We start from the raw sequence: 14,390 nt of genomic DNA, 5'->3' as shown, positions 1-14,390 counted from the left end.
TCCATATTCATGTTCATTTCTGGTCCCGCTAGTATTCGTTACTCATTAATTTGTAATTACGTTGGTATTCACTTTAATATCACATTATCTCCTTAATAGGAAAGAGAACATTTTATAGTTGAAAACGCTGTCAGAGAAGAGCCTAGCCAAGAGATAACACACTTCTGAGACTTTAATTACCTAATTAAAATTTTTTTGAGTGTGCACAGATAAATCACAGGAAAGAGGTTGAAAAGTGTATAGCGACATGAATGTACCTATCTAATTAGTGTGTGGCAAAGGAGAATTTACAGTTTAAAATAATACAGAGTGTCGTAATCTCTGATTATATGTTTATTTACTTTTATTTTGGCTGCAGAGATACACTGGAATTATAGAGGGAGGAAAGGAAATGGAACAAGAAACTATTAATATTATTTTTATCTCAATTGTTTAATAGATATTGAATTTTAATAAATATTAATAATTGACCTTTTTTCACAGACTCTCATAGTCCCCATCCTTGAGGGATTTGAAGTACAGGAAAGAAAAAAAATAAAAATACTTTTTGTAATATGGGTAGTCTTCAGTATAATATACTTTTTTGGAGGTCATGGGGAATTTCAATCAAGTGCTTAAAAACAGTGCTTCTAATTTAATATTTACCTTCACACCAGGAGCACCGGGCTGTCCCTTCAATCCATCCAGACCATTGTGTCCCTGAAAGGAAAGCCTTATTATAAAATGCTGTTCCATGATAGTGTTTGGTCAAATAAAAATTGTATTGTATATCTTTGCCATTAATCTCTCTTGGGTAAGTCTTGTCTGCTGCAGTAGAAAGAAGTCCAGTGTTCCAGGTCCCAGCAAACTCAGTCTATTGCCCTAGATAGGTCACTTAACTTTCTTGCCATTGAGAGAGAAGGATGGAGGACTAGGTGTTCTCTCACATCTTTTCCATCCTTAATAATTTTATGATTTTCAGACGGTTGTAAATACTCAATAAGTAATACATGTTCTATATAATTTTCTCTGTAGTGAGCCTGTTTTTTGGTAGCTATGAACAGACTGAAAAAATTGCACCCCACTTTACTTTCAAGAAATCTGACTCTTTAACTCTTTCTTCCCTTTGGCAAACTCCAGGGATTTGAAAGTGAGTATATGTCACCCAAGATTTTAAACATACTTGAGTTTTTTCCAAAAATTAATAGGCATTTTCTCTCTTCTGAGTAAAGAATGTGCTCACCCTAATGCCTTTGAAGCCAGGAAGTCCAGGAGTTCCAGGGAAACCACGAGCACCCTTAGAAAGAAATACAGAAGATGGTGAATAATGTTTTACCATAAATAAAAAGACAGTGACTTCTTCCCTCCAAAGTATTTATTCTCATCAAAGTTCAAGCTTTGAACCAAAGTCTAGTATACCTCTAAGCACAGAGTGACAAATTAACTTGCTCTAATGTGAGTAACTAATAATACGGTATTTGTAGAAAACACAATTTAGTTGCTTATGGTATGCTTGCTGTCATTTATATTCCATTATTTGCATGAATAAAATGTATATGCATTTTTTTTTAACTAGGCTTTTTTCTTTATTAGATGCCTTCGATTCATGTTATGAGTTTGGGTGACATCTATGTTGTCATTTAGATTGATGCTAGTTTTAGCAACTATCTTATAGGCCTATGATGTTTGTGCTATCTACCAATGTAAAAAGTCTCACCTGTGGTCCAACAACTCCTCTCTCACCAGGTCGTCCGGGTTTTCCAGGGTGACCCTAAACATGAAAACATTGTAGAGTCAACTTCTTCTTGGTAAACTATCAGACAAAATGGGGGAATCTTGGTTTTTACAAAAGGGGAGAAAGTTATCACATAAAAATATGGATCCAGATATATATTTAATCTTTCCCTTAATACAAGTAGGTTAGTTAATATTTCATTAAAATAATATTTCCCATACATTAAGAGTTCTGTCAGGCATATTCAGCTTTTGGCAGAATACTTAATTTGAATCTAGAAAATCTTGTTGAGGCAAGAGTATTTAAATAGCATTTTGAAAGTGCTTAAGAGTAAATACTTACATCTTCACCAGCCTTGCCAGGAGGGCCAGCTGGACCACGAGCACCTGCAGGACCCTAAGAAAATGGGAGACCCATCATTTCACTAAGGTTATATTCATAAACTTCCTGGAAAAAAACTTATCACAAAGGTGGAAAAATGTACTCACAGTTTGACCAGGTTCACCAGGCTCACCAGCAGGTCCTTGGAAACCTTGAGGGCCCTAAAAGAAAAAAAGAATGTCATACTCCAAGCCTTTATTTCTTAATTCTCTGTCTTTTTACATAAGAGGCATTACAAGCTTTCAGTACTTACTGGGGCTCCAGCTGCACCAGGTGGGCCTCTAGGTCCCATTAAGCCCTGTAAAGAAAGCAGATATATCAACAGTTAGCACTGATAAGTTGTCATGGTGTTGGCTGGGGTCAGATATGACCAACTTAGCAGTGCCATTGTTGTGGTTTGATTCCATAGTTTTTATTCCTCCCAAGGAAGAATTTAAGGACTCAAACTTCCTGCACTAGTTCTCTCCCTTTGCTTTTCCTTTTCTCCCAATCCTTATCAACAGAAATCAATGAGAATTAGACGGGGCAGATAGGTTCCTTAAAGTTGTGCACAATTGGGCATATTGAGATTGTTCTGATGCAATGAAGTGAATCAGTCTTTGCAGAAGTGCAGAATATACAATTGTCTTCTATACAGCAGATGAAGCATGTCCATTTGGATATCTTTGATCATATGTCATCTTCCTATGTCATATTTAGCTAAGAAATTGGTATTTTTATTGCCACAAAGGACATAAATTGAAAAGAATCAAAAGTCCTTCTTAATGATTAGAGAGAAGTTTGTTATAACCTTATCGCTCCTCTAAGGGTTATTGGTGACTGATGAAAATGTCAAACAAAAGTGGATGTAATGAGGGGTGAAGGAAAAATAAAACATTATTGAAACAGCCTTCTGGAAGAGTCTATTATATGATATTATTGTTGAAAATATGGCCCAAATGATGGAAGATTGTTTTCCCCTTTGTTGTTTCCATAGCACAAAAGTAGGGTAAAACAGGCTGTTAATAGTTTGTAAGCTAAATACACTTTCTTGACTCCTCTTTGCAGTAATCAGTGCCTGTGTAAGCTCATCCGTAGGGTCTGTTCCTCATAATGCTGAAAATATTTCATGTACCAGTCTCAAGTAATTTGTTCATGACATCAGCTGTGGGGACTCTGCAGTCAAACCTACCTTACTGTATTAATGCCTAGAGTGAAATAACATGGATTTTATCTAAAATGTATGTCATTTTAATTATAAGAATTATTCATTTGGTTTTAGAAATTGCTCTGACATTAAAAGAAACTGTCACTTTTCCATCACAATAGCTTTTTAGGCATACATTAAAAAATAATTTTCTTTGACATCATGAATTTCTAATTATATTTATTTTTTCATGTATTTGCAACAATTTCATTTACATAAAATGTAGTGTATTTCATGGAGGCTGTGATTACTCATTAATTCAGAGAAGAACCCTGTGGGGTTTTATAGTTATTGATTTTCCAACATGGAAATTATTTTAATACTTTATTGCTGCCTATCTTCCCTATTTGTGAAACAGATATCTGTTGATTACATATGTCTGTGCATGTGTGTGGATGTGCAAGCTTAAATTATATTTCACTGATATTTCAAAGTAAAATACTCTGCTTTATGCCAAGACAGATGTTCCGAAAACAGGGGTATCTGAAATCCATATTAATTTTCCCAGCTTAGTGGGCTTTTTAAAAATGACATTTAGTAGCTCTTTACTTTCCGCCCCCTTGCTTCTTCTTGAGATGTAGGTACTGCTTTAAAACTGACTAATGTCCAGCATTAGCTGAAACAGCTAATTTCAAAAATCCAATATAAACAAAGCCAAAAGAAACACTCTACTTTTTCATTTCAGATATGAACATTTTAAACTACCAGAAAAAATTAGGGAATTAGAAGTCGTCAATTAAAGGTACATTATTTCTCAAGTGGGAGTTTTAATTTACAGAAAATATTATCTCACCCTTAGAGTATATTAGCTTACTGTGGGCCATTAGCTCCAGCAGAACATCTTCTTTTGAAGATAGAGCACTAAGTGCACTGCCCAGGTAAAATTTACATTTTAAAGACCTTGTTGACTTTGGGCAGATAAATACCTTTGTTTTGAAACAATTAATTAAAATCACTAAATTGCGTGTGTGTGTATACATTAAATTCTGTAGTGCTTAATCAACCTAACACTTTGACTTCTGGCAGTTTTCCCCTCTATTTCATATATGCTAGTATACATTTTGCATGCTCGTATTAGCATTTTTCCCTTCAAACTTCTCTCTAATGCTTGTTAGAAGCTTCATTTGTTAATAGTCATCATCATCATCATCATCATATAGGGAATGTTTCTAAGCGGTGCTCCACTGATAGGGTATGGTGCTGAATATTTGTACTGAGTGACATAAATGCTAGATTTTTACTCATACTCTCTTCTATATAGATTTACAATCAATAGACTAAAAAAGGATTTTTTTGGTCAAAATTCAGAAAAAGAAACATTTCCTATATTGTTAACTCCTTGAGGAAGGATCAGAATCTGTCATATTCCTTGTAATTTCCCCAGTTCCTAATACAGTTTAGGGCCCATTGAAGGCATCTGATTAATATCTGTTGACTAAATGAGTGGTTTATTCAAGGACTAGGTACATAAACCATGATGTAAGCAAATATTAGACATCTTGCCTGGCATCTAGTTCTAGTTATGTCATTAGTTACCTGGATGACTTTGAGAAAAGGGCTTAAACTCTCCCATTTTAAAATGAGTTAGCTGGACTAGATAGAACTTGTTGATCCTTTCCAACAAGTTCAGAGAACTTAATAAATAGTTCTATGCCTCTAAGTGTTGCTTAAAATTCTAAGCAATGTTAAAGAATATTAAAAAATTAATCAGAGTGATTACTGTTTTAAATTAAATTGATTTGCCCAAGTTATGGTTACTATGTCCAAAGATTATTTCTTGGACATAAGTATATGATCTATCTTAATGAGGATCATATAATCAAAAAGATCATATAATCATAAAAGATCAATTAATCTTTCTTTTGTAAAGAAAAGTGAACTCCTTAACTTATGTTTTCATAAATTTGAAAACAAAAAGAGTTGTTTTTATATAATCTAAGTATTGAGTGTTAACTTAGGTAGCTAAATAAATGGCGTGGTAAAATGTGACATAAAATGAATGATTTATTTAGCAATTTTTTTGGCTAAGATAAACAGATAAGCATACCATTGGTCCAGGGCCAAGTCCAACTCCTTTTCCATCATACTGAGCAGCAAAGTTCTAGAGAAGTAAAAAAAAAAAATTATATATATATATAAAATATTTTTAGTTACTAGTCATGTAGTTCATTTTCTCATTCTACTTGTAAATATTTTTCTGTTGTTATTTAAAAGAGGGCAATGTTTTTGATATAATTATTAGTTTAAAATTCTATATTGAACTAAATTCCTAAAAAGTTATGAGAGCTGTACGTCAAAAACTTGGCCGACACCTCTTTGAAATGGAGAACTTCCCTACTTTACTTTTTGAGCCCTTCCTCTGCCTTAACTCGGTGTCTCCACTCCCACCTTTTACCTCTACTCTGAGGAAGGGAAGCTTTCTAAACTTTTAATGTTACTAAGGGCTCCTGACAAATTAGACAGAGCTCAAGAGGACATCTTCACATTTTCACCTGTTGCCCTTCCCCACCGGAGCTACACAAAATGACTAAGAGATCTTTTTCTTGCTGGAGTTTCAGGAAGGGCATAAAGAGTTTTCAAGTTTAGAGGAAAATTAAATTAAAATACCCCTTGGAAGATAAAACTTCTAAAAACTAGTTCACAGTAATAACTTTACTGTTAAAGATCTCTCTTATAGTGGTAGCTCTATTAAAGAAGCTGCTTTTTAATGCAATTCATAGATAAGCAATCATAATAAGATCTTTGGGGGAGAAAGGTCTTATTTTACTGACATACAGTTGGGTATTAGAATCAGGCTTCTGATTCATAGTGCTAACCAATTAAGCAAATATGTTTTCCTTCCTGCAGTGAGGTCATTTGGCACTCATACCATTGTTAAAGACATGAAGCTAAAAGAAGATATTAATGAAAAAGGGAAATGTACTTTTCTCAAATTAGTTTCAAGCAAATTAAACCTAAAACCGCTTTGAATGTTGGTTCAGCAGACTTCAAGTCAAGGAGAATAAAAAGCGTAGGATGTTTGTAAAATTGCTTAAGATCAGGGATTTCACTTACACAGTTCAATCTAATCAAAATCCTTAATAATGCAACACCTCTTATTTGTGCCTTACTAATAAAAGATATTAAATCTCCAAATTAAATAATGGTAATGATGGCCACAGCTAACTTCAGTGCACACAAAGACCAGTCCTGTAATTGACAAGGGCTCACAAAGAGAATGGGTAAAGCAGAATCTTGAGTGAAAAAACCAAATAAATGAAATAAAATATACTAATTTTCAAATGGAAGAATTATCCCTTAACTGCTAAAAATAAATTCCACAATAAACCTTCTTTCAACTGAAGTTAGCTAAAAGTTAGCAATACGTAAGACACCTTACCCCACCGAGACCAGGGGGGCCAGGAGGACCAGGTGGACCAGGAGGGCCTGTGGGACCATCTTCACCATCTCTGCCTGGGGGGCCTGGTGGACCCTGTTATGTAAAAAGTGAGTAAGGTCAGGTTAGACAGGCCCTGTAGAAACCTAAGAATTATATGTGGTAAGATCAGTTGTTCAGACCTTTCTATGTGCAAGTAGGGTGGAAATTTAATATACTATATTTGTCATTGATTGAAATTCACTTATGAGTCTATTTTAGAAAGAGGGTTAATAACTCTTAAGATATCACAGGGTAGTTTTCCTAAAGAACTATCTCGGCCATTGAATATTAATTCATACTGAAGCTCCAGTATTCAAATATAAAAATTATAGCCAAAATGTATGGTTCCACGTGCTTCATATGTTTAACAGTGCACAAGGACTTACATCGTATTTTTATTGCCGATCTCTGACTGTGACAAACTGATTCAATTGTTTTGGTATGTTACATGTGAATGAATTAACTGATGTGACAGTTAATAAGGTCACTTTATCATAGGAGAGAAAATCCTGCAGATTTACTATCATTAACTACTTGTATTGTTAAAATAATTAACTGATTTAATTCTATTTCTAATAAATTGAGTGAAATACATGTAAGTCTCCTCTTCCTAATAGATATAAGATATAGGTATTCATATATTGGCAAAAGTGTTATACAATGCAAAACCACATAGTTATAAATGTCAAATAAGCATAGCAGGGAGATTTAAGAATGCCACAAATAAAATGTAAGCCTGACTTGTACATGCATGAATTTGAGCAGAGAAACATGTTACTGACTACTAATTCACTATTATTTCCAAGCTACCTAAGGGATCTTAGTTCAAAAGCAAATGAAATGTGTTAAAAAGAGGACTGTGGTGGTAGGTAGATATATTTCCATTATGCATGTGTTGGATGGGTCAATTACAAATAAAGAAAGTAGACCATGCAAAGAATATGACTGTAACAGTTTTTCTTTTTTAACGGTAATTTTGACCTAAAACAAATATTGATCATATATAATAATGCTCATTCGCTTCTTCTGCAGTGCATTACCTGTTTAAAGGGGTGTACAATTATCTGGATACATAATATTCTTATAAATTGCCAGTTCCTGTAGTTTCTAACATATAGTTATTCAAATACGGGACGAAGCCCTTTATAGTTCAAAAATTACACACCCTTTCTCCACGTGGTCCTCTATCTCCGGCTGGGCCCTACAGGAAAGATACAAACAGGACAATAATAAATGCCTAAGAAGTAATTTCCAGTGAACAAACAAATCATTCTTGATAATAATTAGTTGGTAAGACTGATGTAACTACAATGTTATTAGATAGCATATAAAAAATTGACACAATGCAATAGATAAAAGTATATATTTTAATTGTAATTATACGTAATTTTTTTTCAGCTGGAGGATTGGAAGCTGCTATAGTCTTCAGCTATTAGGTCAATACTATGCATAGCATTTTGAATAAGATGATAACTGTAGATTAAATGATCATTTTGTTACATTTTTAACAGCACATTTATATAGTCAAAGCCCTTTAAAATAAACTTTTTTTACTCCCTATAATTAACATAATATGCCTTCCATCTCCAGAATAAAAACAAGTCTTTTTTTTTCCTTTTGTATGTAAATCACCAGTTTGTATCACATAAATGTAATTACAGATGATTCCAGAAGATAATTAAACTTTGTTATCTTAAACATCAAAGCTACTTTATTTTATGCTTTAGCTAATGTATATTCATATGAACAAAATTTTGATAAAGTATTTTCCTTCTATAGTCTACTATAAATTTAGTTAAATTATGTTATCCCTGATAATTTTAGATATTTATGGAGAAGTAGTGTACTCTTACCTTTCTTACAGTTTCCTAGAAAAGAATAAATCAAAGATTATTATGAAGAAAATTGTATATATATATTTAAAAACAGCTTCCATTTTGGTGTAGTATACAAATATACCTTCACAATTCATTACATTATGCATTTACTATTATCTCAGTTTAATATTTCAAACTACAATTTAAAATTTTACCAACATGTCAAATAAAAATATGTACCTACAGAACAAAAAATACATAGCAATACGTACCTGTACTTATGCCTCAAATTCAACTCATGAGCTAAGAATGTGTTAACAATAAGTGCTTTTGCAAATAATTCCAAAGGAGTGAAAAGATTCTCTAGCTCAGTGAAATCTTCTGCTTCATAGAAGCTGATCCTAAAACTCAAACTTCTATTGGATTATTTACTCTATATTTCTTATGAATATTTTATAAACCTAGTCTTATTCAGTAGCCCCGCCTATTTTGGAAAATTGGGTGGGTACTTTCTAAGGCAGCCAGAAAGGTTTTGACTATCATAATTCTTCACAATTTTCTTGGGAATCTAGGATGGTCAATATTAATGTAACTTCTTCCCTTCCAAGAGAAGACATCACTGTAGCCAAGGGAATCAAAGTATTTTTAAAAATTCTAAAAAAAGTTTTACTCACCTCTTGTAAAGCTGTAGAAAAAAAAAAGAAAAAGTAGGAAACAATTATTAGTATCACTTCATGGATCAATAGCAATAATTAACAAATAGAGAAACAAGTTTATAGAATTGAATTACCTAATTAAGGACCAATTATATTTTTTTAAGAATATTTTAATGACCTAGAAATTATGCAGGTCAAAAGTATGGCAGGGATCAGCAGGGTGATTTGTTTGCAATATTAATATGTAAATGTATTTTGAATTAAATTATTAATTATTTACTATTTTATAACTGTTGTGAAATATTAATGTGTCTGAAGGATATTTTGAATGCTTAGCAATTAAGCTGGTAAAGTGCACAGATGAATCGCTGAATGTAAGACTAGTAGATTGATGAGGAAATAATTTATGATTTTGATCATTTTTAATACCTAAATATCGAAAAAAGGTAAAATTTAGGAAAGTATGTTACCTTAAAATTCTATATTGAATTTGTTTTTTATGAAACATTGAAGCTGACTTACTTTTTTATAAAACATTGAAGTTACCTAGTACTTCATTGAGTTTGTACCATTCTTAATATCCTTTTTCAAAAGGTCTAATTTGCACATTATTAACTATGAAAATGGATTAATTCAGACATCTGAATTTTGCTTTAAATTAGTTCACTTAAATTAGGTAAGATCATTTTACCAATATGTATCATTTTTGTCTCGGAGAAAGAGTTTTGTATAAATGGAAAAACCGGATTAAAGATCTTGAAAAATAATAGAAAAAATAAACAAAAGTACTATCCCCCCTTTTGCCATAATTGTTATAAGTCCTTAAAGAGTGAATTCTTCTCCTACGGTACAAAAATTATAGGTTAATACAGGATACAAGTGTGGCCAAGCTTGCAGTAGGATGAATCACCCCAAAAATTGCTTTAATTAGGTGGCCAAGAAGTGCGTTATTTGAAGTGAGAACATCTGTTGCAACAGTCACAATTTAGGAGGGTGGACCACATCCAGCACTGACATTTAAGGGCAATTTACGAGAATTACTGTTAAATTACAAGAATGATATGTTTACTTCATTGTGTCCATCAGTAGGAAGAATAATTATGCCTGACTTGATTAACGGAAGTCCTTATGATTTTGGAAATTTGCCTTTTAATTACTCAGACATGGACCATTTTGAAGAATGTGTGTTTGATAACATTTATTCCAGACTGTGGTTGGCTGTTGATCAGAAGGTAAGTTGCCTTTGTACCTTCAAATTTCCCTAAGTCTGCCTTCATTTTATTCTCTAGGAGCCGACTCTTTCCTCCCACTCTCAAGATCTCATTAAAAATATGAACTCGGTAATGTGAATTTGTTCACTGCAATTACTCCTTAGTATCCACAGTATGTATACTAAAAGTGAATGAAGGGGGAAGAGACACACAGACACACAGACACACACACACACACACACACACACACAAGCACACAAATGCATTAGAAATTATGCAGTGGTAGACACCGTGCTGTGTGGGTGGAACAACTTTTTGGAGTACTGGGTGTGGTCAGACAATACCATCCCCCATCTAGTCAATATCTTTGTCTAGCACTTTGGCAGCCATTTTCAAGATGAAAACGGACTGATCTTCTTCATTCTCTGTTGACATGAAAGTCTGGCCATGGAACCTAGAGCTGGAAAGTGGCCTTGGGGTCCCTTTAATCTCTGTCTCACATTTTAGAAAAGGCCGTTTGACTTGCCCAAAGTCACGCAGCAAATTGGTGTCAGACTCATGGGAAAAACCCCGGTCTCTTGAGTCTCATCTCAATGTTGATATTTCTCAACTTGCTGCGTTCATAATGTTTGCTTATCACTGGGAACATGTCAAAGGGGTAATTCTCAGGCTCAAACAAAATTTAGAGCAGATTTGAGTTAAAAAATGTTACCATTTCCATGACTAGAAAGTGAATTGAGACACTTATATTACTTTTCAGAATGTACCCACTCCAAGTAGCATCCATTCTTCTTTCCAGGGTTCACTGACTAGCCACTGGGAAAGGCTCCAACCAGAAATGCTGATCATTAATCTGTATAAATCCGTAGAAGCTTTAATTGGGATTCCATCTGCTTAAGGCCCTGTCCCCTGTACTTTCATTTTCCTTCCTCCAGAGGGCGCCTTATAACCATCATCATATCAGCATCGTCATCCTCCTCCTCCGGACAAGCCTTACAATGCCCAGAAGATAAAAGCTCTTAGGAGGTGAGTTTTACATTACTCAGTTGAAGGGCTTTCTAACGCAGGCCTCAAGTTTTACAAGGTGGACATCAGTGCGGTTATGGGGCCTGTGGGGTGCAGGCCCTTGACTTCCTCCACCACATTGGTCGTTAATATCTCATCCTTAGGGAAAAAGACCTTCCGCTCCCTTTGGGGGTTACTAAGCTGAGGAGCCAGACCGAGTTAACTGTCTCACTCTGAACTTAGAGGAAAAGTTCCCTAACTTTTGGCAAGGCTTTTATGTTTTCATTTTTTAAAGTAATTTCCATGTTTCTTATCAATTCCGGCGTTTTCCCACATGCCTGAGAGTCTGCCCTCCAAGTGTACCTGGAATTCAGGTTACAGGTTTTCCTTTTCAGGGCAGGGTGCCCTCCCATCTAACCTCTCTACCCAGTCTCCCCCAAACAAGCTGAAGGCACTTACATTGGCATGTTGCTAGGCATAAGGTTACTGCAAGCAGCAACAAAGTCCGCGTATCCACAAAGCTGAGCATGTCTAGCACTTAGACATGCAGACTCCTTGTGTCGCAGAGCCCCTGGGTCACCGGCGGAGGTATCACCTGGCGGGCGCGGGCATGCAGTCGTGGCCAGTACCTCCAACTTAGCCGAAACCTCCTGCTGCCGTGGTGCTAAAATAATAAAGCCCGGATCTGCCCTATTTATACGGCAAAAGTTTCCCTGGCCCTAGGGTGCCTCCAAAAGGGCCTCCACCAATGGGAGGGCTGGGGCTGGGGGCCCGGGCAGCCACAGCTGGGAGGAGCCTGCGGGGGCGCAGAGGAGGGAGCGAATGGGGGAAGGGACGTGGCCACGGGGCTGGCTTCTTAAATTGGTTCCATTCTTTTTGAGGACGTGGACACTTTTGAGGCTTTCAAGGGGAAACTCTGACTCGTTGTCTGCATACCTCCGCCCTCCGCATCCTCCCGCCCTCCCCCGCCCTTTCCAAGTTTGGAAACACTATGGGACACGTCGGAGTGCTCTGCAGCCCCGACATGGGCAGAATTTGCAGATCTCCGGCGATCAAAGCAGGAGCTGTCCAGTCCCGCCTCACCTGTGCCCTGTAGGCCACTTGTAGGGTGGAGGGCTCCAGCGGGAGCGGAGGGGGCAGAGAAGGAGGGAGGGAAGACTCGATAGCGTGGCGCAGCCGGAGCCCGCCTCCCCGCCCCTCCACCCCTGCACCCCGCCCCCAGCCCCGTCCAGCTTTTCTCTAGCTTTGGGGCTCGTGTGCGCCCACTGTTTCAGCAGTGATGCACTCTCTTTGTCTTATGACTTCGGGAAAGGGCGGGTCCTGTCTGTGGAGGGCTGGGTTGCAGTCGGAGGGCGCCTTTTGTTGGCAGGTGGGCTGGGGAGCAGGCTCGAGGCTGCTTGGCACCCGGCTACAGGGAGGATAGGCTTTGCGAACTCTAGACTAGACCGAGTCACCTGGGGAAGTCCTTCGACCTCCTAGCTTGCCTTTGCTGAGGCTCATTCCAAAGAGGGTCTTTTGGGGGATGGTCTGGCACTCCGACACGACTCCAACCGACCTGGAGACCGAGAACTTATTTCTCAGTCTCTCCTTTCTGAGGCTGCGGTGGGGGATCTTTCATGGTTTCCAGTCTCCCCTCCCCTTCTCCATGGGCTCCTTGTCTGGATTTACCAGTTCTACCCTGAGCCTGGACCCTTCAACCCTCCCGTGAGCCCCCCGGTCCCTCTTGACCTTGCTGCTTACTCTCTGTCCCATCTCTTACAGCCACACCCAAGCACCTCCCCTAGCACATCCAGAGGCCCTTCTGATTCGAGCTTGGGGTCTTCGTAGTCTTCGCTGGTAACACCCCAAGCAGTGCGCCCACCAACGTGGATGTTAACTCTCTCCCCAGCACCCAACTTCCCTCTTCTCTGGCCGCCTCCATCCAACCCTCCACTCCCTACTAGGGAGAGGAGGAACTGGTACTTTGACCCTGAGGTGGGAGGCCAAAGGTCCTGTGCCTTTTTCTAAAGCCTCTTGGGATGGCATTCCAGGCCCTAGGTTTGAAAGGCTGTGTGTGTGTGTGTGCGCGCGCGCGCGTGTGCGTGTGTGTGTGTGTGTGTGTGTGTGTGTCAGGCCTCTCCTCTACTTGCCTAAGGTCCCCATGAGGCAGCGGGGGCCTAGTTAGAGTGCTGCTCTATCCCAGAAGTCATCGCAAAGGGGGCATCTTTAGGTCAGTTCTGTCTCTAAGAAACAGAAGCAAGTGGGCTGTAGTTCCCTGAGAATCTTTTTCCCTTCCTTCCCCCCACCCCCTCCCCGCTTTTTTTGCTTTGCCTTAAGGAAGAATTTCTGCAGAAGTTAACTCCATCAGCAGCTTCTGTAAATAAAAGGGACTATTCTAAAGCAGGTTACTCTTTCTAAATGTAAAAGAAGAAAAAAAGGTTAATGCAAGTAAAAGTGGATAACCAAAAACTATAATAAACTCTTGTTTTATTCTAATTAAAGGCACTCACTTGGGAGACCACTTTGGATGATTTTTTGAAGTAACTGGGAGTGAAAGAATTTGAAAGGGTTACTGGTCATTCCTAGAAGGGGGTTTACAGGGAGCAATCCACATTCAAATTTTTTTCTAACTAGGCAACAATGTTTGAAGTTTTCTAGGTTCTAGGAACAACAACAACAAAAGACCTGAGGTTGAATTGTATATTCCAAGAACATTTTTAACATTTCCCTGAAATATCACCGTTACAGAACTAACAAAAAACTTTTAAAGTGGAAATCATTTTTATCAGGAAAGAAAAACTTCAATACTACATCATAACAAATTTTTTTCTGCATATCAGAAGAGTGAGAAATGATTTCTAAGAATCATTGTTACCACTGTGCTGAATTACCTTTGCAGGGCATATGTGTGTATTTGTCCTGTGTTGCTGAGAGTCAGAGACTAATTCTGAGCAAAATGACTCAGGGTGGTAATGCAACAGATTTATGAAAGAAACCCTCCAAATACCCTTCAGTGAGGTTAT

General features: G+C 37.3%; 1 protein-coding gene across 1 annotated transcript in view; it reads right to left on the bottom strand.

Annotated features, from left to right (window-relative positions):
• Nucleotides 1–12,054, bottom strand: part of COL1A2 (collagen type I alpha 2 chain) — a 36,333-nt gene extending 24,279 nt beyond the window's left edge. The window contains exons 1-12 of the mRNA NM_000089.4: nucleotides 11,848–12,054; nucleotides 9,191–9,201; nucleotides 8,553–8,567; nucleotides 7,865–7,900; nucleotides 6,661–6,753; nucleotides 5,329–5,382; nucleotides 2,349–2,393; nucleotides 2,203–2,256; nucleotides 2,057–2,110; nucleotides 1,697–1,750; nucleotides 1,223–1,276; nucleotides 646–699 (exon numbers count right to left, since the gene is read on the bottom strand). Of these exons, the coding sequence (NP_000080.2) occupies nucleotides 646–699; nucleotides 1,223–1,276; nucleotides 1,697–1,750; nucleotides 2,057–2,110; nucleotides 2,203–2,256; nucleotides 2,349–2,393; nucleotides 5,329–5,382; nucleotides 6,661–6,753; nucleotides 7,865–7,900; nucleotides 8,553–8,567; nucleotides 9,191–9,201; nucleotides 11,848–11,917 (594 nt within the window). The 5' untranslated portion in view covers nucleotides 11,918–12,054. The remainder of the gene's footprint in view (nucleotides 1–645; nucleotides 700–1,222; nucleotides 1,277–1,696; nucleotides 1,751–2,056; nucleotides 2,111–2,202; nucleotides 2,257–2,348; nucleotides 2,394–5,328; nucleotides 5,383–6,660; nucleotides 6,754–7,864; nucleotides 7,901–8,552; nucleotides 8,568–9,190; nucleotides 9,202–11,847) is intronic.

Source organism: Homo sapiens, chromosome 7 (genome assembly GCF_000001405.40).
Source record: "Homo sapiens chromosome 7, GRCh38.p14 Primary Assembly".
NCBI classification, from domain to species: Eukaryota; Metazoa; Chordata; class Mammalia; order Primates; family Hominidae; genus Homo; species Homo sapiens.
The sequence above is the reverse complement of the archived record's forward strand: the minus strand, read 5'-3'. Positions and strand labels throughout refer to the sequence as shown.